Genomic DNA, 27,582 nt, shown 5'->3' with positions numbered 1-27,582 from the left:
AACCTGAGAGGAAGGAAATGAGACATCCTCCTTATGCTTTGAAGGAAAAAACAACAGGCTAGAAGTGGTTGACTCACGTGTTCATGACTGCCATTGTCAGGGTAAGCTGAGAAGTGCATGAGCTCAGAAAAGGACTGTGCCACATGACAAGCTGGAGGGGGTGTGACAGGAGAGAGAGGAAGATGACAAATAGACTATGGGAAGCAAAATGGAAGTTCCGCTTCATGGAAACATAGTACATTCTTTCCTCACAATGAAGAAAAAAGGAAGAAGAAAGAAACTTGACTACAGGCTTTATTTTAAAAAGAAAAAATATATTCTATAACAAAGTCCTAATTCATCTGTGGGTGGTGTATCTGTGCTTTCATGCAATGATTGGATGAAACCTGCTACCAGCACATCAATCCAATTGGCAACAGCATTCCAAAAAAATAAGAAAAAAAATAACAGGGTGTGTACTCTCACTAAAGACACCTGAGAAACTCTATTTCCATGCATTACCATGAGAAGAAAAAAAAATTACCCAGATTGAATCGGGGACAGGACTAATCACTCCTGGGATGAAATACATGCAAATAGATTAAAATGGTGCTTGTGGTGCATGCGTATGTGCATGTGTGTGTACTGTGGTGTGTTTGCCACTGAGTACGAGAAACGTTGCCTGCTTGAACTAAAGGAAATGCTTAGTCCTGTGGAATCCAGAATCCTCCCACCTAGTAGGTGGCTCTTCAACCTCAGGTTTCAGTCTCAGCTCCTTTGAGAGCAGCCACACAGCAGACCAATTGCCGTGAGTGGGGGACTTCGTGGAGGATGCCAAAGGTTTTGTTGGGGGCTAGGCCCTAATTTGGGAGAATTCTGTGAAAGAATACATTCCCACCCACATCCGGGAGCTAAGTCCTCATTTGGGCTCCAGAGGCAAAGTGGTCACTTCATTTCTCACCCCTCTGCTTTCTTCCTCACTCTGAAGTTGGCCACCAGGTGGCGGCAGAAGATCAAAGATAATATCACTAGAACCAGAGCAGGCTGACGGTCTTTTCTTTTTTACTGACAAATAATAATTTTATGTATTTATGGGATACAATGTGATCATTTTGATATACGTATACATTATGGAACGATTCCATCAAGCTAATTAACGTATCCATCCACTCACCAATTTATCTTTTTTTGTAGTGAGAACATTAAAAATTTAATTTTGCAATTTTGAAATGTACAATACATTATTAACTGTGCTCACCGTGCAGTGCAATAGGTCGCTTATTCCTCCAGTCTAACTAAAGCTTCGTATCCTTCCATAAATTACTTCTTTTTCCCTATCCCACCCTTCCCCCTGACACAGCCTCTGGTAACTACCTTTCTAGTCTCTATTCTTTGTTTCTGTGAGATCAATATTTTTAATTCCACAGCTAGGTGAGATCATACAGTATATGTCTTCCTGTTCCTGGTTTATTTAACTTAGCATAATACCCTCTAGTTCAATCCAAGTTATCACAAATGACATAATTTCCTTCTTTATAAAGGCTAAATAGTACTCCATTGTGTATATACACATCTTTATTCATTCATCTGTTGAAGGACACTTAAATTTCTTCTATATCTTGACTATTGTCAATAACGCCAAAATAAACACAGGAGGGCAGATCCCTCTTTAATAGCCTAATTTGAATTCTTTTGGATATATACCCAAAAGTGGAATTGCTGGATCATAGGATAGTTTTTTTTCTTCAATTTTACTTTAACTTCCAGGGTGCGTGTGGGGCATGTGCAGGTTTGTTACATAGGTAAACATGTGCCATGGTAGTTTGCTGCACAGATAAACACATCACATAGGTATTAAGCCCAGCATGCATTAGCTATTCTCCCTGATGCTCTCCCTCCCCCATCCCCCAACAGGCCCCAGTGTGTGTTGTTCCCCACCATGTGTCCATATGTTTTCATCGTTCAGCTCCCACTTAGATGCAAGAATATGCAGTATTTGGTTTTCTGTTCCTGTGTTAGTTTGCTGAAAATAATGGCTTCCAACTCCTTCCATGTCCCTGCAAAGGACATGATCTCATTCCTTTTTATGGCTTCATAGTATTCCATGGTGTATATGCACCACATTTTCTTTACATGGGATACTTTTATTTCTAGGTTTTTGAAGAACTTCCATACCATTTTTAGAATGGCTGTACTACTTTACATTCCCACCAATAGGGTACAAGGGTTTCCTTTTCTCCACATTCTTGCCAACACTTGCCTTCATTGGTTTTTTTGATAAGAGACATTCTAACAGGCCTGGGATTACAGACATTACTCTCTTCTATTCTCATTTAAGTGGTCAGAATGGTTTATTTAAAGTCTTTAAATGACCTCGAATTCTCCCATTGAAAACGGTTTCTTATGGTATTAGCATAATTTCAAACTACTCATCAGAATGATAACGTGCCATGTGAGATGACATGGGGTGGGGAGAGCAACTGAGAGAGCTGCAGCCAAAACACAGACAAAGGAGGAGAAGGGCTGGGATGCCTGTGGAGCTTGTGGTGAAACTTAACAGAGAGGAACAGGGGAGAATCAGAAAATGAAGCCAGCAGAATTCTTGCACCACAGATCAGTGCTGCAGCCTGGGAGCAGGTATCCTCTCTTCACATGTAGAAGCATCACCTGGATGTTGCAGTCTTTTGCCTGCAGATACAATTTCACTCTAATAGGACCATTTCTTAGCCCCACCGCAACCTCTGAGGAGGCAGAGAGGCTGAAAGTTAAGTTAATCACCAATAACCAATGATTTAATCAATCATGCTTATTTAGTGAAGCTTGCAGGAAAGCCCAAAATGAAGGGGTTCCTAGAGCTTCTGGATAGCTGGATACATGGCAGTTCCTGGAAGGTAGGGTGCCCACACCAAGAGAGGGCCCTGAAGCTCCAGGTAGACGTTGTCAGAATCCAGTTGAATTATACAACACCCAGCCAGTGTCTGCTGCAGAATTGGCTGTTGATATAGAGAAATCTCCATAAATTTTGGTGACCAGAGGTCACAGAAGTATTCTGTATTGATTGTTGAGTGAGGAAAAGGAAATACACTTCGGCTGATTTATTTTTTCTTTTTTGAGACGGAGTCTTGCTCTGTCTCCTAGGCTGGAGTGCAGTGGCGTGATCTCGGCCCACTGCAAGCTCCGTCTCCCGGGTTCATGCCATTCTCCTGCTTCAGCCTCCCGAGTAGCTGGGACTACAGGCACCCGTCACCACGCCTGGCTAAGTTTTTGTATTTTTAGTAGATACGAGGTTTCACTGTGTTAGCCAGGATGGGCTGGATCTCCTGACCTCATGATCCGCCTGCCTCGGCCTCCCAAGGTGCTGGGATTACAGGCATGAGCTACTGCGCCTGGCCTCGATTTATTTTTTCTATATCTCTCTGAGTTCGAAAAGTGAAAAATAAGGTGGGAGTGTGTATATATTAATGACAAAACTTGTTCAAGAGAAAGATGTGTCAAACTGGCATCTACAAAGAAGTAAAATGGTTTTGATAAACTCATCCCAAGAAATGCGGAGAAACAGTTCTAAGAAACACGTTCTATTGGAGCAGGCCATCGCGTTTGTGAAAATCTCCCTGTGTAATATTCACATGCAGCCTGGGTTGACATCCATAGCCTTAGAAGAACAGAATTCTCTTTGTCATGAGCTGCTCTAAGGGCAGGGGTGACCTTTGTCTTTCCTCATCTTAATGTACCACAGGGAGGCGAGGACTTCAGTAAGTGGGATTCACAGCAAGGTGCAGATTAGAACTCCCTACAGAGGGTTTCACCATCCTGTGAGGTCCCATCCCAGAGATTCTGATGGGGTGACCCAGCTTAGGGCCCAGGCATCAGCAGGCCTGAAGCCCCCAGGGGGCTCTGATGCACCACCAGGGCTGGGAAGCTGACCCCCAGAGGGTCCAATGCCCAGGGAACTTTTTCCCCTGAGATAATGAGGAGAGCTTCATGGACGACTTGGGGCCTGGGGCAGAGGACTAGTGTGTGACTGAGGAGCTCTTCTTAAGATAGACTCTGGAGGGGTGCATGGGTTCTATACTAATGTGTTTTTCAAATGTGTTTCAGGCTATTTCTCTTCTTGATGATATGTCAGGAAATGCTTGTGTTTAGCTTTCGAGCTTAGGGAAATTCATCAAACCTAATGAAAATTGTTTCCATAATTTTCATGTAAATAAAAATGATTTCTAATTTCATGATAGAATGCTCCAAGAAGTCTGTTTTCATCTGGCTGATAGAAGTAAAAAGACATTCTATTTTGTCTTTTTTTTTTTTTTTTTTTGGTGTATATGGAAGTAAAACTACTACTCAGATTTCTTTGGTCATACATGAGGAAAAGACAGGAAAGAAAAGATCTGGGCTGTGATGGGAAGTGGTTTCTACCTGTTTTTCTGAGGGTGTGGCTTCACAAGAGTTAAATCACACACACCACTACAACAATTAGTACCAGTGATCCTTTTTTAAGGTAATAAAATGGAAAATACCCCATGGACACAAACATGTTCAAAAGGTTTTTTTTCCCCTCAGGTCTATTTCCACAGTCATAAAAAGAGACAAAATGATTATATGATTGGACTGCTAACTCCATTGGACATTCTGTAACTCACTCAGCCACTCATCCCCCATAGAGGTGAGAGGAACAGGCAGTAGGTTTTATTAGTCATGTTACAGTCATAGTAAACAGATGTTTTAATGACAGCTTATTTGAGCTCCATTGATCCTTTGAATCCATATGAAAAAGCATGCCCATATGTGACCACATTCAGGTGCACTGGGAACCACAAAGAAAGAAAAAAATATTTCCTCCAATGTTCATTAATTGAGATTTTAAAGTGATGCTTCTTCCATAGAACCACAGGGTGGTGAAAATATGACAGGGGCTGCTGTGATTTCCAGAACAAGCTCCCATCCTCTGGGGGTCCTGAGATGGATTGATCCTGGAGTCCAACACAGGATCCAACACAATGGATTGATCCTAGAGTCCTCTCAAAAGGAAGGCAATGGTCCCATTGGATGGAACATGGGTGGCTGAAATCCTGGGGGGAGCAGCAGGACATGCCAGGGGCTGGTGGCCAGGCAATGCTCACCACAGCTGGAGGAGCACGTGGGGGTATGTTGCTGTGGTTGGCAGATACATCTGCTGCTGCTGCTGCAGGAGGAGGAAGAGTTCCTGTTCCTGGCAGTGCTGGAATAGGCGTTAGCTGGATCCCAACCTGTGGTTCTGTCCTTTTTCTTTCCCTCTGGCTGCTTGGGATCCTCTCCGTTTTCTACCGAGTCTGCAGCCCTTGACAATCAACTTATTAAAGGATTTCTCAGCAGCCACTTCTGCAGCCTGCCCTGTGGAAACCTGGATGGAAAGCACTCTACTGTCTGCACAACAGTGATCATTCAGATCGTCAAATAATTAGAAATGATTATTTAGATCTGTCTCAGTAATGGCATCACCGAGATCACCAACACAGAGTGTGGTGATAACCTTGTCCTCTGGTGGATCCAGACAAGGTATGGTGAAGCCTGCTTTAGAGGCTTATCTGCTCCGGGGTCATTGATTCCATAATATTGGATTCAGTCTTTAATATTCTTATCAGCAAGGGGATCGTCTGGATCTGTAGGCTTCTCATGTCTGTATGGACCCTCCTCTTCTCCCTCACATTCTCCTTTCACTCAGAAGGAGCAAATGTGCGTATTCCTTTGGTAGTAGCATGTGGTCTGCGCCAGTTTGAGCAGCGTGTCACTGGTATATGTGACTCTCTCCAGCAGGCCAACTTACCATGTTCCATCAGAGTCCACAATTGCTTGTCTATATTCTGCATGTAGTACTCTTCATTGATGTCTGACTCTGGCAAGTCATCTTTTAAAGACAATTCTGTATCATGAACCTGAATGGACAGGCCATAGTCTAGGACTAAGACATTCACTCTTCATTGTCCTGCAGGCCTGGCACACTTCAGTCTTCTTGAAATGCATGTGGATCCCAGGATACCAGCAAAACACTGTGAATAGCCTAGAATAGATTTTCAATTTTTTTCTCATACTTTTCTTTGGTTATTCATATTTGGGTTTTCCCTAAGACATGTCTGACACAGAATGGAGAAGTTTGCATCCTCCCAACTTTGCCTATTTTAGGATTGGAATCAGGAAATGTTGCCATCCTGAGAGGGTCTAGAGGCAGTGGTAGCTTTTTGAATGGAGACAGGACCACCACCATTGTGTCAGCCCAGCTTTTCCTTCTGCCCCTGGTTCTTGAGATCTTGAGATCATGAGAAATTTCCTTTGAAAGTATGTGATTCCTCTTTCTTGATTCAAGGTGAAACTCTCTTCCAAGGAATCCCCATTCTTGTAGGAAACTCTGGATTTCCTAGTCTCTCCAAGGACTGGCCTACAAGGGACAGAGAAAAGTGAATACACCTTGAAACTACTCAGAGTGTATATTTGAGTGACTTTCAGAGACCCTCCCTCTATGCCACCAAGGCCTAAGCATGACCTTGTTTCTGTTGGTGGGAGATGATAAAACCTTACTTGGCAAGTTTGAAAACGAGGATTGCTGGGCGAAGTAATGTCCAATCTTTAAACTCATGGACATATCAGGAAGCATCTGTGCATCTGGATATTTATGATGCTCAATAATGGATAAAGACACCTGAAAAGTGAGTGAACAAAAGAATTTTCAGGCTAAATATTCCTTCCCCTGAAGGGTTCTTCCTTTGTTTCAGGCATAGCGATCTGGCCTGAGAAGGGGCCTTGGGTCACCTTGTGGTCACCAGGACTTGCTTGCAAGAGCTCCATGTATAACAGGCCATAGACTCATCATCTGTGGAGCCACTCCTGTTGCCCAGAATAAGAATTCATGGCTGCCAAAAGTGCCTGTGGTTAGAGCAGAAAGATTGCGAGTTGGTGGGGGAAGAGAGCTAATCCAAAAATTAAAGAAAAGGGTATTCAAACATGAGATAATCTCTTTATCATGCCTTTCCTATAAGTTGATTAAATACGGGAAATCACAGTACTGAAAATAATAATCTAAAATTCTAACTACTAAACTTTGAGCTACGATATATGTGTCACTATAAAGTAATAGAGAATTTATCTCAGTCCAAAATTAATAACAAAGAATTTCAAAATCAGTTTTGAGCTTTGCCTTCTATGTATGTGAAAGAACAAGATCCAGACTCCCTCCAGCATCAAACAAGTAGAAAGCCAGATCCACTATGTGACCTAAATGTGTCCAGATGCTAGAAAGTATCTGATAGGGGCACAGGACAGTGGCCTGGAGGCTGAATCCAAGGGAGGGGACCCCCTGGCTGCCCCAACTCAGAGCCTGCAGAGAGCGTCCAGGAGGCAGTGCAGTGAGGCAGGATCCCGACAGAGCATGGAAATCCCTGAGTTTAGGAAACAGGATTGATGATATAAGGAGAAAGGTGGCTGGAAGGCACAGGGCTGAGTACCAGAGAGCAGGAGGGAGTGGCTGAACTGAGGTAAGACTGGAGAGTAGAAGATGGGGGGTCACTGAACCATTGGCAGATACAAGGGTAATCACCAATTAAACAAATTTGTCCCAGTGAAAGAGGAAAAAGGAACCCTGCCTTTTTCTTTCAGAGCATTTTTAAAAGAAAACTTGTCCCTATGAGTTTCTTCTCTGTCCCCTTGTGACGTATGGAAGTCTCCAAAAGTTAAGTAAGCCGCTTACCAACTTCCAACCAGGACTGTCTTTCTCAAGGGCCTGGGAGCCATCTCTCTAAAATGGAATCATTAAGGGAGCAAGTTCCCATGAGAGGGTAGGAGCCCAGCTTCCGCCAGTGCCTGGCTCTAACTTACTAACCTACTCCTGCCATAAACTATGAGACACTGGTCTTTTCTTGTCATAAATGTGATTAGTGAACACAGTGGGTACCCTTGAGGGACATGTAAAAACAGTGCTGTCAAGTCCCTTCCCTGAGGACTGGTTACTGTTTATCTCGGGAACACGCATGCACTGGTTGTAGCTGCCTGGCTATGCACAAGGGTGAGATTTCCTTCTTTCTTGCAATGTGCTAGGTTATTATCTGTTTTGTGCATCACAATGCCGTTTAATGATTCTTCAATGAAACTGTTTTCTTTCTCTTCTATCTTTCCGGAGAGATTTCCTGAGTTGGCAAGAGACTTTGTTGTTAATCATATTCCCCACCACAGGTAGTGACATCACTATGCTAGAGGGGAGCTGAAGACCTGAGTGGCAGCATCTCTCCCTGCTGCCTCAGCCAAGGCCCCAGTGCCCAGGAAGGGATGCCACCACCTGGAGTAGAGCCTCAGATGGGAACTAATATCAGTAACTTGATATTTCTGCTTGGATAATGGGCAAATTAGAGATAGCTCAGTTTAATCCATTCACAACCAAGCATTTCAGTTCTGGGGAAGACAGACTAGACATACATGTCTCTATTCTTCCCAATAAGTACAACTAAAATCCCTGGACATTATACATGAAACCAAATGGAGAAAGCTCTAAAAGGTGGAAGAAAGCAAGCATACTGTTCGTGAACCGAAGAAAGATGTGATAACAGAGTGGGGTGAAACACGGGTTTCTTTGCCCATATACTGTAGTCTTGGAGCTAAAGAAACTGGCAACTCAGATACACCAATAGGCAAAGGCAAAAAAATAAAACCAGAAAACTTTTATCCAGTGACTGCCCTACTACAGCCAAAACCACTGAAAAACCATGGCTGCCTGCCCACGTATGCCACCAAAAGCCAAATGAGAGGCTAGAGTTTCACCTATGCCAGGATGAAATGCAGACAGCACCATAGGCTTTCTTTCCCTTTTGTGTTTTATAAATTGTATTTGATGCTTTAAGGAAAAATGGTAAGATTTTCAACTATGATAATTTCTGTATATAACGTAATATCTTGATCACACACTAAAAATGCTATACTCAAAAATACTATAAATAAAACAGCCACTGCTCTCTGGACTCCTGGAATATATTTATGGGACTTTAGGCACCTCGCTGGAGTCCTGTGCTCAGAACACAGCCTGATGAGCCACAATGTCATATTTTAAGTATATATTGCATGCCTCATAGTGTATTTGCTGAGTTATGCAATTATAATCTCAGTCGAATTTATTTTTGTTCATCTCTAAAAAGACTTTGTGCTATTTGTAGTCACTCTTCATTTTCTTCCAGCCCTAGACACCATTAGTTTATATTCTGTCTCTAGAGATTTGCCTTTTCTGGACATGTCTTATGATTGGAATTCTACAGTATAAGGTCTCCGGCTTCTGCTTTCTTCTTAGCTTTTTGAAAAGTTTACTCCTCTTGTACCATGTGTCATTACGTGCCTCAGTTTTGATTGCTGAATATATTTCATTGTAAAAACATATATATGTATGGTTTTTATTTTACTTTAAGTTCTGGGATACATGTGCAGAGTGTGCAGGTTTGTTACATAGGCATACATGTGCCATGGTGGTTGGCTGCACCTATCCACCCGTCATCTAGGTTTTAAGCCCTGCATGCATTATGTATTTTGTAGGGTCCAGCCCTACAGGACCTGTGAGTTTTCTCTTTGTGTGTGGAGACAAGAGATCACAGAAATAAAGATATGAGACAAAGAAATAGAAGAAAAGACAGCTGGGCCCGGGGGAGCACTATCACCAAGACGCAGAGACCAGTAGTGGCCCCGAATGCCTGGCCGCGCTGCTATTTATTGTATACAAGGAAAGGGGGCAGGGTTAGAAGTGTGAGTCATCCCCTATGATAGGTAAGGTCATGCGAGTCATGTGTTCACCAGACAGGGGGCCCTTCCCTATTTGGTAGCCAAGGTGGAGAGAGAGAGGGGACAGCTTATGTCATTATTTCTTCTATGCATTTCTTGGAAAGACTTTAATATTTTCACTAATTCTGCTACTGCTATCTAAAAGGCAGAGCCGTGTGTACAGAGCGGAACATGAAAGTGGACCAGGAGCGTGACCGCTAAAGCACAGCATCACAGGGAGATGTTTAGGCCTTCGTATGGCTGCGGGAGGGCCTGACTGCTGTCAGGCCTTCCACAAGAGGTGGTATAGCAGAGTGTTCTCTAAATCCCCCAGGGAAAGGGAGACTCCCTTTCCCGGTCTGCTAAGTAAAGTTTGCCTGCCTTCCCAGGCACTGGCGCTACCGCTAGACCAAGGTCTGCTAAGTAACAGGTGCTTTCTCAGGTACTGGCGTTACCGCTAGACCAAGGAGCCCTCTAGTGGCCCTGTGCAGGCGTGACAGAGGGCTCACACTCGCCTTCTGGTCACTTCTTCTCATCATGTCCCTTCAGCTCCTGACTCTGTATGGACTGGTTTTTCTAAGTTATAATTGTAGGACAGAAGTTATTAATAAAAGAGTAATGCTACAAACTAATGATTAATAATATTCATATATAATCATGTCTATATTCTATTTCTAATATAACTATTCTTATTCTAATTATTTTCTTTATTATACTGGAACAACTTGTGCCTTCGGTCTCCTGCCTTGGCACCTGGGTGGCTTGCCTCCCACAGTATTTATTCTAACGCTTTCCCTATTCTTGCCCCCAACCCCCTGACAGGCCCTGGTGTGTGATGTTCCCCTCCCTGTGTCCATGAGTTCTCATTGCTCAATTCCCACTTATGAGTGAGAACATACGGTGTTTGGTTTTCTGTTCCTGTGTTAGTTTGCTGAGGATGATGGTTTCCAGCTTCATCTATGTCCCTGCAAAGGACATGAACTCATTCTTTTTTACGGCTATGTAGTGTTCCATGGTGTATTGTTTTTCCTTATTCTCACTGGTTGATATTTCGGTTGTTTACCCATTCAGCTATCATGAATAGTGCTGCAGGGAGCCTTTGTGTACACATAGGTTTTCCTATCTTTTAGTTATATAACTGATAGTGTCACATGAATAATTTGCAAATATTTTCTCCCATTCAACAAATTGTCTCATCACTGTTGATTGCTTCCTTTGCTGTGCAGAAGCTCTGTAGTTCAATATGGTCCCATTTTCTAGTATTTGTTTGTTGCTTGTGATTTTGTGGTCTTAGCCATAAAATATCTGGCTAGATCAATGTTCAGGAGGGTTTCTCTTATGTTTTATTCTAGTAGTGTTATAGTTATGGGTTTGTGTTTCAATCTTTTATTTTGAGATGATATATATATCATATATCATATATATTTTTTGAGTTGAGATATATATATATAAATATATATATTTGAAGCTAGACTTCTATCAGTATATATATATACTGATATATATATATATATATATATATATACTGATAGAAGTCTAGCTTCAAATGAATTGAATAGCTTATGCATATAGCTATCCAGTTTTTTCAATACCATTTATTGAAGAGGGTATCCTTCTCCCAACGTATGTTCTTAGTGCCATTGTTGAAAGTCAGTTACTTGTAAATATGTGGTTTTTTTCTGAATTCTCTATTCTGCTCTATTGGTCTCTGTGTCTATTTTTATACCAACACTATGCTTTTGGGGTTGCTCTGACCTTGTATGATATTTTGAAGTCAGGTGGTACAATGTCTTCAGCTTTGTTCTTTTGCTCAGGATTGCTTTGACTCCAGGCTCTTTGTTGGTTCCATACACATTTTAGACTTCTTTTGTGTGTGAAAAAGTTGGCATTTTGATAGTGATTGCATTGAATCTGTAGACTGCTTTGGTCATTTTAACAATATTAATTCTTCTGATCTATGGGCTAAACCACTAGCTAGACAAAAAAATTATGGGCATGGAATCTATGGGCATGCAATGTCCTTTCATTTTTTTATGTACTCTTCAGTATCTTACATCAGTGTTTTTTAGTTCTCCTTGTAGAAGTCTTTCACCACCACAGCTAAATTTATTACTAGGTATTTTAATATTTTGTAGCTATTGTAAATGAGATGGCTTCCTTGACTTCTGTTTCAGCCACTTACTTATTATGTAGAAATGCTCCTGATTTCTGTATGTTGATTTTGTGTCCTGCAACTTTGCTGATCATATTTATCAAATCTAATAGTTTTTTGGTGGCATCTTTATGTTCTTCTAAATATAAGATCATGTCATTTGCACAAAGCAACAATTAAACTTTCACTTTTCCTATTTAGATGCCTTTTATTTCTTTCTCTTGCCTGATTACTTCGGCTAGGACTTCCAGTACTTTGTTGAATAGAAATAGTGAAAATGAACATCGTTGTTTAGTTCTAGTCCCTAGCAGAAAAGATTTAAGCTTTTCCTTATTTAGTATAATGTTACCTGTGGATTTGTCATATATGGCCTTTATTAAGTTGAGGTATGTTCCTGTAGGCCTAGTTTGTTGAGCGTTTCTATCATGAAAAGATGTTAAATTTTGTCAAATGCTCTTTCTGCATCTATTGAGATGATTGTATGGTTTTTGTATTTCATTCTGTTAATGTGATGTATTGTGTTTATGGGTTTGTGTGTGGAAATCCATCCTTCCATCCCTGGGATAAATCCTACTTGATTGTGGCATGTTATCTTTTTGATGTGCTGTTGCATTCAGTTTGCTAGTATTTTGTTGAAGATTTTAACATCTTTATTCATCATATTAAACTGTAGCTTTCTGTTTTCATTGTATCCTTGTATTGTTTTCATATCAGGGTAATGCTTGCTTCATAGAATGAGTTACAAAGAATTCCCCCCCCTTCTATTTTTTGAATACTTTGAGAAAAATTGATATTAGTTCTTCTTTATAAGTTTGGTAGAATTCAGCTGTCAAGTTATCAAGCCCCAAGCTTTTATTTGCAGAGAGACATTTTATTACTGTATCAATCTCATTTCTCATTATTGGTTTGTTTGGGTCTTCTATTTCTCCCTGATTCAATAGTGATAGTTTGTATGTGTCCAGGAATTTAGATATTTTCTCTAATTTTTCCAGTTTGTTATCATGCAATTGTTCTTAGGAGTCTCTGATTATCTTTCATACTTCTTTCTGCAGTATCAGTTGAAATGTCTGCTTTTTCATTTCTGACATTGTTTATTTGGGTCTTTTCTCTATTTTTTGTCTAGCTAGTGGTTTATGAATGTTGTTTCATGTTTTCAAAAAAAGTTTTATTTCATTGGCCCTTTGTATTTTTTTAAGTTTCTAGTTTGCTTACTTCTCCGATTTTTATTATTTCTTTGTTTGTTTGTTTGTTTTGTTTTGTTTTAAGACGGAGTCTTACTCTGTTGCCCAGGTTGGACTGCAGTGGTGCCATCTCGGCTCACTGCAGCCTCTGCCTCCTGGGTTCAAGCAATTCTCCTGCCTCAGCCCCCTGAGTAGTTGGGATTACAGGTGTACTCCACCACACCTGGCTAATTTTTGTATTTTTTAGTAGAGAAGAGGTTTCACCACGTTGGCCAGGCTGGTCTCAAACTCGTGACCTCAGGTGATCCAGCTGTCTCAGTCTCCCAAAGTGCTGGACTACAGGCATGAGCCACTGCACCTTGACTGATTTTTATTATTCCTTATGCTTATGTTGAGCTTAGTTTGTTCTTGCTTTTTTGGTTTCTTGAGGTGTATCATTAGGTTGTTTACTGTAAATATTTCTACTTTTTTGATGTAGGTATTTACTGCTGTAAACTTCCCTCAACACTGCTTTTGCTGCATTTCATAGTTTCCAAAATATTGTGTTTTCATCTTCATTTTTTAAATATTTGTTTGGATTTCTGTATTAACCCAATGGTTGTTCTGGAGCATGTCATTTAATTTTCATGTATTTGTACAGTTTTCAAAGTTCCTTTTGCTACTGATTTTTGGCTTTATTTCACTGTAGTATGAGAAAATACTTGATATGATTTCAATTTTTAAACATTTGTTAAGACTCGTTTTCTGGCCTAACAGAGGGTCTATCCTGAAGACTGTTCCATGTGCTTCTGAGAAGAATGTATGTTTTGCAGTCATTGGATCAAGTGTTCTGCAGATGTCTGTTAGGTTCCTTTGGTCTAAAGCAACGGTGCCTAACCTTTTTGGCACCAGGAACTGGTTTCGTGGAAGACAATTTTTCCTAGGACTAGGGGAGGGGGATGATTTCAGGATAATTTAAGTGCATTACATTTATCATTAGATTCTCATAAGGAGCATACAGCCTGGATCACTGGCATGTGCAGTTCACAATAGGGTTTGAGCTCCTATGACAATCTAATGCTGCTGCTGATCTGACAGGAGGTAGAGCTCAGCTTCACTGGCTCACCTGCCACTCACCTCCTGCTGAGCTTCCTGGTTCCTAACAAGCCAGGGGTGGGTATTGGTCTGTGACCCGACGGTTGGGGACCCCTGGTCTAAAGTACAGTTTAAATCTGATGTTTCATTATTGATTTTCTGTCTAGGTAATCTTCCAGGGCTTGTCTAGTGGTGATGAATTTCTTCAGTTTTTGCTTGTCTGGGAACGTCTTTATTTCTCCTTCATTATGAGGTATAACCTTGCTTAGGCTGTGTTTGCTAGTTGAGGCTGTGGTGAGGTTTTGGTAGGAATGGAACACCAGATAGGCCAGTCCTTCAGCCCCCATGGTGACAGTGGCAGCAGTAAAGGGTTGAGGGTGTCTGTCCTTGGGCTGCTGGGTAGTGTATGTGGGCACTGGTGTTAGTGTGCCTAAGCCTGTTGATTCTCAGGCCTTCAGGAGGCTTGCTCTGATGTCTGTAGTAACAGCAGTGGGCTAGGAAATGGGGCAAGTCCTCAGGCCTCTGAGCAGTGTGTACCGTGTGGATGAGGAGAGTAGTGGGGTTGAGGCAACTTCAGGCTTCCAGGCAGCACTCACAGTGTTTGTGGTGGCTGCAATGGGCTGAATCAGACAGTCCCTAGAGCCTTAGGTGACACATGAGTGTGGATGCTGGTGGTTGTCTGGGTGGGCCCATCCTTAGGACCCCAAGAGTACCCAGATGACAGCAGTGGTGGATGGCATGGGAGATTCCTAGACCTTTAGACAGCATGCTTGAGTGCTGGCTGCACATTTTCTTGGCCTGTTTTTAGGACCCTGGTGGACTCATGCCAGAGGCTACCACCTGTACAATGCTGTCCTCAGGTCCACAAGTGGAATATTTGACCACTAAGGGTGGGAGAGAGGCAGGTGAGGTGGGCCTGTTCTCAAGTCCTCCTAGTGATGCACATGAGCATAGGCTGTGGGCAGGGCAGGGGAAGTCCCAGACCTCTGGAGCTCATGCTAGGGCACCAGTGATGGCAGGCCTTCTGGAGCTGTTATTAGGCCCCTGGGAGATGGGTGCACCAAAATCTCAGAAATCGCCACTAAAGAATTTATTCATGTGCAAATAAATAAATAAATAAATAAATTCACTTACACTGTCTTATAATTATGTAATTAGTTTTGCTAGTGTGTGCTTTGTCTTTCTTATGCATTCAAATTATTGTCTGGATTTACTTGCTTTCAGCCTGAAAAACTTCTTTTGCCATTTTTTCATAAGGTCAGTTGGCTAGCAACAAATTGTATCAGTTTTTATTTACATAAAATGTTTTTATTTAACCTTCATTTTTAATAGCTAGTTTTTGTGGGTATAGGGTTCTTATTAGGCAGGCTTTTTCTGTGAGCATCAGACAAAATAATTTATAAAGAAGTAATTGAAAAGCTTCAGAGAAGGAAAATAAATCAAGACCTAAGGACACTGACTGGATTGAGCACCAACGTCATAGTGATGGCAGCTGGGTTTAAGATGACAGGGAGAATTGTCACTGAAGACAGTAGAAGTCTGGGGATCAAGTGGTCCTGACTGCAGCTGAATGGAAAGTTTATTTTGTATTTTATTTTATTTTAATTTTTGAGACAGAATCTCGCTCTGTTGCCCAGCCTAGAGTGCAGTGGCCCGATCTCAGCTCACTGCAACCTCTGCCTCCTGGGTTTGAGTGATTCTTCTGCCTCAGCTTCCTGAATAGCTGGGATTCCAGGTGCCTGCCATGATGCCTGGCTAATTTCCGTGTTTTTAGTAGAGACGGGGTTTCACCGTATTGGCCAGCTGGTCTCAAACTCCTGACCTGAAGTGATCCGCCTGCCTTGGCCTCCCAAAGGGCTGGGATTGCAGGCATGAGCCACCGTGCCCGGCCTGGAGAGTTTATTTGTTAGAGCCTCAGATATGGCACATGAGAGGTACACCAGCATGAACTCAAACATATTCAGAACTGGTGCCTTGGGGGAAAATCTATAGATTAAGTGCATGAGAAGTCACCACTTCAGTATCAGATGATGTTTGATTAAGAAAGTGTAACTCCAAATGTGGCAATCATGATCAAGGTTAAAGTTAGCACTAGTTATAACATAGGTGTGGTTGGTGGTGTCTCAGAAGCAAATAAAAGTTGTCAGTTGCTAAGAATGTGTTAATCATTTTATTCCACATGCTCTCATGCTGACTGTGTAGTTAAACATCCCTGTAAGTAGAAACAACTTCACTGTAAGCGCTATGTAAGCCTGGTGCAGGGGGCATTTTCTTCATTCCCAAAAAAGTTTTACATAGACTACCTGTAATATTGAAACGTAGGGACAACTGGGGACCATGTGTGAAGGCCCCCAGAAATTTCTTCAGTTAGCAAGGATGTTTGGTAAAGCAACACAGAAATTAAACAAAGTTTGAAACTATAGTTATTGCTTCTACTTTATTGGCAATAACTGAGACCAGACAACCCTCCTGGGCAAAATTACCTAAGAAAACAAGCTTGCACACGTTAAAGTTTGAAACCCATCTGTCCTACACTGATCTTTTCCAGGAATTAAATGTGTTCAGTTTTTCCTTTTGTTGCTCCCCTTTCCAATAATCTCGAGGCCAGGGCTGTCCTGCTTCTACAGGTGACATGACAGTTATGGGCCTGGAGGGAGACGAGCTGACAGTATCCCTTCTTTATAACCAAGTCTCAGGGACCACCATCCACACACACAGACTCACTCCAGGACTCCGCTGGGCAAATGGATGTTTCTCAGCTTTAGTAAAAGTGAGTGATCACGACTTACGTTGGTAGTGGCAGGAGGATTTTCTCAATGATGTAGATAACTCTCTCATAATTTTGTTCTTGTGTCTCACTGAATTATAACTATTTTCAGATAAAAATATAAATTTTAATATCATGAGCACATAAATTTACAGATGTTCGAAAGGATATTTGTAATTTTGTAATGGTATATGTTATAGGTAAGACGTTTATTTAGAAACAGAATGCTTGTTTTTCGGTCATGTAAGGAAAAATTAGCATTTAGACAAAAAGGTTTTTTTAGCAAGGAAATTTTACTTTCTGCAGAAAGGGTGCTCCTTGCAGATGGAACAATGGCAAGAGCACATTTGAACAAGGGAGGGAAGCAATTTTTATTTTTTATGTAGCTTGTCCCTGCTCTTGTGTCCTGTTTTTATTGGCTGGAGACAGACTTCATAATTTAAATTAAAACCTGATTGGCTAATAACTTAAAATTTTTTAAACAGGTAAAAGCAATGGAAAGATAAATGAAAAGAGGAAGTTGTTTATGAAAGGACTTAGAAAAGTAATAACATTCCTAAATAAGGAAGTGACAGGCTGTGAGCTGGGACATGCCTGTGAGCACATCCAGGACAGGTATTTCCGTTAAGGCACAAGGACATAGAATGTACTATGTGCCTGTGAGCATGTTTAACAGCTACATAGGATAGGGCTTAAACAAAGAGTTATTAGCACAAAGTAAGGAGGCTTGAAAGAAATTAGTCTTTAAAAGAAACTATTATTTCTAACACTTATTTATCCTGTAACAAGAATGGAAACTTTGAAGAGGAAACTTTTTACTTTCTGCAATTCCTTCCTTTTGATTTTATAGCTTTTTTTCTTTAAAATTTTTTAACATGTTTTGGTTTAGCTGTTTTGCTTGAGTTTTTAAAAGAAAAAGTTTTTCTGGTTGGTGAAATGCCACGGTAAAAGGGATAGCCAATTGAACTAGAGCACAAATATTGCTTTAATTATTTGGCAGAGTGTTCAGTAAAGGTCTTCTACAATATTATTACATACCTGTTTGGTGATGAATAAGGGGGGATTGATGGGTCAGCTCTTGGAAGTGCCTGACTTCACTGCATTAAGTTTTCAAGGAACACTAAATTTTTCCCTTGTTGTTGGAGACACCAGGTAAAATTGGTCTTGGAAGATGGAGGCTAGATGGCCCTCGGGGGCTGACCCGCAGGGTACTGCATTTTAGGAAATAGTAGCGAGAGCGTTTGACACAGTTTATTATCTCAGGCTGTAGGATTTTGAAAAGGAGCTACCATGTAGTCCATGTTTTGTTGATTAGAGGACTATTTGAGTGGAAAGGGGACAACCTGGGCCTCTAGCCTACCATGCACACGTGTTTAACGGTCACTTTTATTTAGATGCAGATGAAATATTTAATTTATTTTAACCAGCCATTTACATTTTGATATCCTGTTTTAATTGTTATTGTTTGCTTTAGGTTTTTTATTTTTACTGTAGAGACTTTGGTCTTGTTTTTGTGTCTGGGAGGAGTGATAACTAAACAGGCATTAAAAGTAGTAACTTGAGGTGAGTTAGATTTAGTTATATTAATAAGATAGGAAGTAGTTAAAGGGAAGAAAAGAAAAAAGATAGATAGATTACGTTTTTATAGCTTTAACTTGGTAGGGCTTAACCCTGGAACAACGGCCTATGACTTTGACGGTGATGACGCTTTTTTGACTCGGGTATGTGGTGTTCATTCTCTTCTGCTGTGGGAACCGCAGTCTTGGTGGGTTAGCAGCACAAGGTAGGGTTTTTCTTAGGCTGGCTTGAGTTTTTCTTCTTTTTATCCTTTGATAAGGACATGGTTTCCAGGCTGGTGCTGGTTTACTGGAAATTTTAAGAGTGGCACCTGTGCTAGAAGACTTTTAGTTTTGAGGAAAAGGAAAGTGGAAAATAAGTATGTAATTTTTGAGAAACTGATTTTTTTGTTGTTGTTTTAAATGTGCGGATATCAGCCGTGGAATGTAAGTAAGGCAACCTATAGGTAGTTTTTGACTTAAATTTCCTTTTTTAATTTTTACTTATGTTGTTTTTGAGGGAAAATTTGGGGTCCCTCAGAAAGTTAGAACTTTGCATATCCTGGGGCCCGAAGCCCCACGGTGACGCCTCCCGCTTCATTCCCGTTCAATGTAGCCTAGGGGATGCTGTGGCCCTGGCCCCTCTTAAGGTCCCGGCTTCCCTGCGGCCTTTACTGCTACCATGCATTGCGGCCTTGTGGGGATGAGGGTCCTTGTGACTTACCGCACTGCCCCCAGACCTTGCTCCTGCCAGAGACCCCACTGTCTAGCCCCTGGCCTTGGGCTGGGCTGGGCTGTGCTGTCTGACAGTTGTTTGGCCCCCTCCCTTGCACCTGTAGTGTTTGTCCCCCCCACGCCCTCGCAGGCTCTCACTGCAGCCTCTGTAGGAGCCGCTGGAGGTGGAAACTTGTTGGTATTAAACCTGTGCTGGAGAGCCCCAGTGGGTTTTTTGATGCAGTTGGAACAAGATTTTTTTAATAAGGGGTTTGGATAACATTTTTTTAATTTTGGTTTAGCAATATTTATTTTCCTTCTGAATTTTCTTTAGCATCTATTTAAAAAATGTTAATGTAGGTAAAAATTCACATTCTTATGTTTTCTTATAATTTTTTTCTAAAAGTATATTTTACTTTCCTTATATACCTTGCACACAAGTTGCTTCTTTAATAGTTTTACATTTAGGAGGCTTAATTATTTTTAAATTATATAATTTTTTGCATAAATTCCCTTTTATAAAATTTTTTAGGACTTTTACAATTTTTGACATGCCTTAACTTTTAGATAAACTTTTAGACTTTTTTTACACTATTTTTTCCCTAGTTTTATTTTTTGTGTTTTTTTATCTTTGTTTTTTCCAGTCTTTTTTTTTTTTTACTTATTTTTTCCTTCTATCTCTCTCCTTCATTTGCGTTTTCTCCTTCTCTCTGTCACCTCCTGTTTCCTCTTTCTCTCACACTTACTTGTTGGGTGGGATCTTCATGGCTGCAGTCCGTGCCCTGGGCCACTGTCAGCCTAGAGGCTCAGCAGATGCCTGCCATAAGTTGCATGAGTTATTAACCCTGGGCCAGAGGGTCCCCTTGTTTTTCCTCCTTACTTTTATATCCACAGCCCTTACACCATTTATTTTTACCTTCTCCTTTAAAGTACTGACCTTGCCTTCTTTCTTTTTGCATTCCTGAATTCCCTGACTTTTTCCTTTTACCTCTTTTAGAAAACTTTGGAACTTGCCAACAGATTTTTGCTTTTTGTATCTGCCCTTCTCTTTCTCTGTCTGCTGGTCTTTCCCTGCCTCTGCCAGCTGCCCATGCTGCTATTTTCCCCTCTCTTTCCCCTTCCCCTAGGGAGCAGCCAGTGGGTGTGGAGCTTAGCGTTTTTCTTCCCCCAAGAAGAAGGGAAAGGGAAGTTTTGAATATATTTGTTTACTACCGGAGGTTTGTGTGATCTTTAATCTCCCCCAATGGGGATTTTTCACCCCTTTTTTTAACCTCTAAGACAACCCAACTAAGGATTTTTTCACCGCCCCCCAGCCCCGCAGCTTTTCTTTCCTCTGTCTTGACTAAGGCATGCTTTACCGCCCCTGCAATTTCTTTTACCTTGGTGTGCTTTAACCAAGGAATGCTTTACCACCCCACGGCTTTTTTTCCTTAGTTCTGACCACCAAGGAAATACTTTAACTGCTCCTCCAGTGTTTTCGTTGTTTGGCTCATGCACAAGGTCGCCCAGTCTACATGGTATGTAAGGATCCTTTACTCCAGGTTGCCAACTGGTTTCTTTCTGCACTGCTGAGAGTCTGGGTTTATTTGTCATGCTGGGTGGGTTTTGATTCCTTACCCATAAGGCCACCGCAATGAGGCAGTGGGGCCCCTCCTCATGAGAGAGGACTAGAGACCGACCCCAGAGGAGAATGTATGGGCCACCATTTTGTTACATGTAAAATGTTTATTTAGAAACAGAATGCTTGTTCCTCAGTACTGCAAGGAAAAATCAGCATTCAGACAAAAAGTTTTCTTAGCAAGGCAATTTTACTTTCTGCAGAAAGGGTGCTCCTCACAGATGGAACAATGGCAAGAGCACACCTGAACAAAGGAGGGAAGCAATTTTTATCCTTTATGCAGCTTGTCCCTGCTACTGTGTCCTATCTTCATTGACTGGAGCCAGACCTCACAATTTAAGCTAAAACCCAATTGGCAAATAACTTAAAACTTTTCTAAATAGGTAAAAGCAATGGAAAGACAAAGGAAAAGAGGAAGTTGCTTATAAAAGGACTTAGAAAATTAATAACGTTCCCAACTAAGGAAGGGGCATAGGTTGTGAGCTGGGACATGCCAGTGAGCACGTCCAGCACAGATGTCTTGGTTAAGGTACGAAGACATAGAATGTACTATGTGCCTGTGAGAATGTCTAAAGCTACATAGGATAGGGCTTAACGAAGAGTTATTAGCACAAAGTAAGGAGGCTTGAAGGAAGTTAGTCTTTAAAAGAAACTGTTATTTCTAATGCTTATGATTTATTCTTTAACAAGAAGGGAAACTTTGAAGAAAAAACTTTTTACTTTCTATAGTATATTTGAATTGAAATTTTACTTGACTATTTCTCATAATAAATTAATACAACAATAAATTATTTTTATGCATTTATGGAAAGTTTTATGTTTTAAGGCACAATAATCTGAACTAACTCAGAATTCTTTAATTATGCTCTGTTTTTTTGGTTGAAAGTACTTAGTGTATTTCCAATAATATAAGACTATTTAGATAAGGATGTTGTAAAGTAATGATTTGCAAACTTGAATGACACAGCATTCACACATTATTTTAAGAATCCTCTAAATTCACTATCCCTACTTTTTTCCCTTAAGGTTTCAATTATAGTTAACTCAGTAAAACATGTATTTGCAAAAACTGACAAGTTCGTTTCAAGTTAACTGTTGAAATTTACAAGTTAACATTATCTAAATTCAATAAGGTTAGTGCCTTCTAGTGTCTATGTGTCTTTAAAATGGAAAACAGAGGACACAATCAGGACACTTGAAAACAAAAGGAATAAAATGATAATGACAGAAATTGTCAATTATCTGTGGCTCACAAGGGCATCAAAACCTCAAAAAACTTGATCAGTACAAAACTTCTCTGTCCCTGCTCACTAGAGGAGTTTGAGTTTTCCTTAAAATGTGTCTTGCATTTCAGGTAGACGAGAAAGATGTGTGAGAGCATGGGTCTTTATTAATCTTGATCAGAGTTCCTGAGCACAGAGGATATGCCCTCCATTTCCTTCCTAATAAAATAATTGGTGCAATTCATATGATTGTGAACTTCTCATTAATGTGTGGCACAGAGATTTAATGGTAAAAGATCTTAAAGTCTTTAGAAAAAGAAAGTGTTATATTTTAATCATAACTTTTCAGTTCTGGTAGTTAGAAAAACCCACTGCCAACCAGGATTTTAAGGCTTCCAAAAATTTCTGGCACAGTATTTTGGATCAAATTCCTCCAGTGTGTTTCTGTCCCCTACCTCTGCAGTGACATTTCTCATGCCCATGTGTTTCCTCAGTTGAGCCAAGAATAAAATGTCTTCAGATTATGAATGTCCACAGCGAGTATTGTACTTCCAGATGCACCATACTCTTAAGTTAAATTGCTAAAGAGTAGTAGATGCGTTTCAGTTTTTTAGAGGTGTCTGGACCTTAACATTATTCTCTTGCCATTTGTACATTTCACAAATAATTTTCATGAAACTTATTTAGCCAGGAAAGGTAATTCCCTTCCCTGATGTTGCCAGCTGTGTTTCTATGTTGCCCAGGCTGGTCTTGAACTCCTGGCCTCCAGCAAGCCTCCCACCTTAGCCTCCCAAAGCACTAGGACTACAGGTGTGAGCCACTGTGCCTGGCCTTTAATCATGACTCCTGACCTTGAAGCATACACTCTCACCTTGACTCTGACCTTGCTGTCATTCTGACACCTCTCCCTCCTCCACGCCTGAGCTTTACCTTGTTCTCACTCTCACCTTGTGTCAGACTGTGACACTCACCTGACTCTGATCCTGATTGTCACTTACACACTCTATCTTGTTCTTACCCTGACCCCGATTCTGTACTTGACCCTGACCCTCACTTTGGTCTTCAGTTTTAGCCTCACCCTTAATCCTGACCCAAACGTTGAAGGTAACCTTGCGGTGGCACTCAACTTGACCCTCCCCTGGCCTGGAATCTTAACGTCACCACGACCCTCATCATGACCATAAATCTGACCCTTGCCTGACCCTGACTCTGCTGCTTACTTTCCACTGACCCTGACTTGACCCTTACAGTATCCCTGATCCTGACCTCACCTGACTCTACAAGGACCCTTATCCATACCTTCACCATGTCCTTGAACCTACTGTGAATCTGAAACTTATGCTGAGCCTGAACTGGACACTCAGCCTAACCCTGGAACTAAGTTTTTCTCACCCTGAGATGAACTCTGACACTGAAACTGACTCTGACTCTCGCCCTGACCCTGGCTCTGAATGTTTGTCTCACATTCCTCCTCATCCTCACTCTGACACTGACCCCCACTCTGATCCTCACGATGACTCTCAGCTGGACTTTAAGCATGACCCTCACCCTCATCAAGACCAAGCAATTTGCTCACACCTGAGTCCCAGCACTTTGGGAGGCTGAGGTGAGAGGATCACTTGAGGCCAGGCATTCAAGACCAGTCTGGGCAACATAGCAAGACCCCCTCATCTGTAAAACAAAATACTCACATTGTATTACAAATGCCTGCTACATCATTGTATAAATTCTTTCTTTTTACTCCTGTTAGTAGCTACAACGTGGTCTTATGATAAAATTCTGTACCCCTGCTCCGACCACTGGAACAAGCTGGACACGTCTGGCTTCTTACCAGGGCTGGGACTTGGTGAGACAAAGGAGGAGTCAGTGGGAATTTTAACAAAGCCCTCACTCTCAGGTTCATGAAAGTGCAGGGTCAGCTCCTGAGAGTGGGGCCTCCTTAAATGTGCCCTGGATGCCTCACTTGCCTTACTCTCCTCTAGAGCCTGCTTCTTGCAGCTCCTAAAGGGTTTTGCCCTCTGGATATTTTTCGGTTCTCCTACAAATGCAAATGGGCGGCCCATGCCTACCAGTATTCCGGGCACATCCAACTGTCCAACTCCATTTAGAATCCACTGGAATCCCCGATACATTTGTTTGATGTATTTATATATTAATAATGCAGTGGCTCATGCCTGTAATTCCAGTACACTGGGAGGCTGAGGCGGGAGGATCACTTGAGTCCAGGAGTCTTAAGCGACCAGCCTGGGCAACATAGGGAAACCCTGTCTCTACAAAAAATACAAAAATTATCCACCTGTGGTAGTGCAAACCTGTGGTCCCAGCGACTTGGGAGGCGGAGGTGGGAGGATCACTTGAACCCAGCAATTTTTTTCTTTTTAGATGGAGTCTTGCTCTGTTGCCCAGGCTGGAGTGCAGTGGTGTAATCTCAGCTCACTGCAACCCCTGCCTCCCAGGCTCAAGTGATTCTCCTGTCTCAGCCTCCCAAGTAGCTGGGACTTCAGGTGTGCACCACCATGCTGGTCTAGAGTCCAGGAGTTCTAAGAGATCAGCCTGGGCAACACAGAGAAACCCCATCTCTACAAAAAATACAAAAATTGGGTGGCTCGTGCCTGTAATCCCAGCACTTTGGGAGACTGAAGCGGGAGGATCACGAGGTCAGGAGATTGAGACCATCCTGGCCAACATGGTGAAACCCCATCTCTACTAAAAATACAAAAAAAAAAATTAGCTGGGCATGGTGGCAGGAGAATCCCTTGAACCCAGGAGGCAGAGGTTGCAGTGAGCCAAGATCGCACCACTGCACTCCAGCCTGGCAACAGAGCAAGATTCTGTTTAAAAAAAAAAAAAAAAAATTAGCCAGGGCAGTGGTGTTCCCCTGCAGTCCCAGCTACTCCGGGAGGTAGAGGTAGGCGGATTACTTGAGCCCAGGAATTAGTGGCTGTGGTGAGCCACAGTCACACTACTGCTCACCAGCCTGGGTGACACAGTGAAACCCCCATCTCTAATAAAAAAAAGTAATAAAATAAAATTAGGTAATTTATTTTTTATGATTGTCAGGAACTTTTATATAGTTATAATGTACAACATAGTATTTGAAATATGTATATTTTGTGGTGTGGTTAAATCAAGCTACTTAACATACGCAGTACCTCACATATCATTTTTCTTTTGGTGTAAGAATACTTAAAATCTACTCTCAGCAATTTTCAAGAACGCAGTCCAGTACATTGTTGTTATCTGTAGTCACCATGATGTATATTAGATTTCTTGAACTTATTCCTCCATTCTAACTAGAATTTTATATCATTTGACCAACATTTCCCCAATCTTCTTACCACTTACTGCTTGGTAACCATCATTCTATTCTCTGCTTCTATGAGTTTAACATTTTAGCTTCCACATATGAGTATCATGTAATGTTTCTTTCTGAGCTGGGCTTATTTCACTTAACATGTCTTCCAGGTTCATCCACATTGTAGCAAATGACAGGATTTCCTTCTTTTTAAAGGCTGAATAGTATTCCACCATGTATATATACTAATACATACCCCTTTTTTTTTTTTTTTTGAGATGGAGTCTTGCTCTGTCAGCCAGGCTGGAGTGCAGTGGCTCGATCTCAGCTCACTGCAACCTCCGCCTCCCAGGCTCAAGTGTTTCTCCTGCCTCAGCCTCCCGAGTAGCTGGGACTACAGGTGGCACCACCATGCCCTGCTAATTTTTGTATTTTTAGTAGAGACAGGGTTTTTGCCATGTTGGCCAGACTGATCTTGAACTCCTGACCTCGGGTGATCTGCCTGGCTCTGCCTCCCAAAGTGCTGGGATTACAGGCGTGAGCCACCATGCCCAGCCCACTTTTCCTTTATCCATTCTTCTGTCAATGGACACTTAGGTTGATTCCATATATTGGCTATTGTGAATAGTGCTGCAATGAACATGGAATGCAGAGATCTCTTTGGCATACTGACTTCATTTCCTTTGGATATATACTCAGTAGTAGGATTGATGATTCAGATGATAGTTCTATTTTTATTTTTCTGAGGAAACTTCATACTGTTTTCTGTAATGGCTACACCAGTTTACATTCCCACTAACAGTGTACAAGGGTTCTTTGTTCTCCACATTCTTGTCAACAATTGTTTTCTTTTGTCTTTTTGATAATAGCTATTCAACAGGTGTGAGATGATGTCTCACTGTGGTTTTGATTTGCATTTCTCTGATGATTAGTGATGTTAAGCATTTTTCATATACTTGTTGGCCATTTATATATCTTCTTTTTTTTTAAGTTGACATATAATAACCATACATATTTATGGGGCATATAGTGATGTTTCAATATATACAATGAATAGTGATCAGATCAGGATCATTAGCATATCCATCATCTTGAACATTTATCATCTCTTTGTGTTGGAAGCATTCAATATCCTCCTTCTAGCTATTTGAAACTACATTGTAGGGGTTCAGTCAGGATGGTGGGAGAAATTGTAAAATAAATACAAACCTTCTTGGAAGGCCAGAAGGTTTTTGCAAAAGCCTCGGGATAGAGTTATGGCTGAAGGCAGCCTAATCCTCTTTGAGCTATAGCAAGGGTAATTAACATAAGAATGTAGAGGAATCCATCTAAATAGTTTGTTTACTTGGGTGGTCCTGACTAACCTTTGACCATCCGGGAGTGCATGATTGCCCTCTACTCAGTGGGTCAGTAGCCTGATTGCTCTCTACTCAGTGGGTTGTTATCAGTAATTACCTTCTAGTGGTGTTTACTTGAGACCTTTGTCATTTAATGTGTGCTGAATAAATGCGGGCAGGGCCAGCGAGTCGAGGCCGTGGCTGCAACTCTTTACAGACTCTCCTTGGAGTCTGTAAGTGGCCCGGACCCTCAGCTGGACTGACAAGCATAATATCTGTGTCAATGTATGTTATTCATTCTTCGTTGGGTCAGGGTCTGCAGGACAGACCCCCGCACTACACAGCATATTATTGTTATCCCTAGTCGTTGTACAGTGCTATAGAACACTATATGTTCTATCCTTTAACAAATCTCTCCCTATCTATCTCCCTTTCCCCTTGTATATATTCTTTTGAGAAATGCCTTTTCTCGTACTTTGTCCATTCTTTTTTTTTTTTTTTTTTTTTAGATGGAGTCTCGCTTTGCCACCCAGGCTGGAGCACAGTGGCAAAATCTTGACTCACTGCAACCTCCGCCTCCCAGGTTCAAGCATTTCTCCTGCTCAGCCTTCTGAGTAGCTGGGACTATAGGTGCCCACCACAATGCCTGGCTAATTTTTGTATTTTTAGTAGAGCCGGGGTGTCACCATGTTGGCCAGGCTGGTATCGAACTCCTGATCTGCCCACCTCAGACTCCCAAAGTGCTGGGATTACAGGTTTGAGCCACCTGGGATCACCGTGCCCAGCCATACTTTGCCCATTCTTTAACTGGGTCATTTGTTTGCCTGCTGTTGAGTTCCTTACATATTGTAGATATTATCCCCTCATCAGATGTATCGTTGTCAAATATTTTCTCCTATTCCGTAGGTTGTCTCTTCACTCTTTTGA

General features: G+C 41.5%; 1 pseudogene, besides 2 other annotated features; it reads right to left on the bottom strand.

Moving 5' to 3' along the window:
- On the bottom strand, positions 4,975 to 6,228 carry RBM22P13 (RNA binding motif protein 22 pseudogene 13; annotated as a pseudogene).
- Positions 10,191 to 10,280: a silencer, noted in NCBI's record as "silent region_7427". NCBI's record gives its function as "represses an Ori minimal core promoter by ATAC-STARR-seq in GM12878 lymphoblastoid cells {active_cell/tissue: GM12878}" and the evidence as "EXISTENCE:reporter gene assay evidence [ECO:0000049][PMID:35858748]".
- Positions 26,084 to 26,993: an enhancer, noted in NCBI's record as "OCT4-NANOG hESC enhancer chr16:31854092-31855001 (GRCh37/hg19 assembly coordinates)". NCBI's record gives its function as "activates a minimal SCP1, AML or CMV promoter by ChIP-STARR-seq in naive H9 embryonic stem cells {active_cell/tissue: H9 hESC(naive)}" and the evidence as "EXISTENCE:reporter gene assay evidence [ECO:0000049][PMID:30033119]".

This window comes from Homo sapiens, chromosome 16, assembly GCF_000001405.40.
Source record: "Homo sapiens chromosome 16, GRCh38.p14 Primary Assembly".
In the NCBI taxonomy this organism is placed as follows: Eukaryota; Metazoa; Chordata; class Mammalia; order Primates; family Hominidae; genus Homo; species Homo sapiens.
This window is presented reverse-complemented; position numbering and strand designations above follow the sequence as displayed.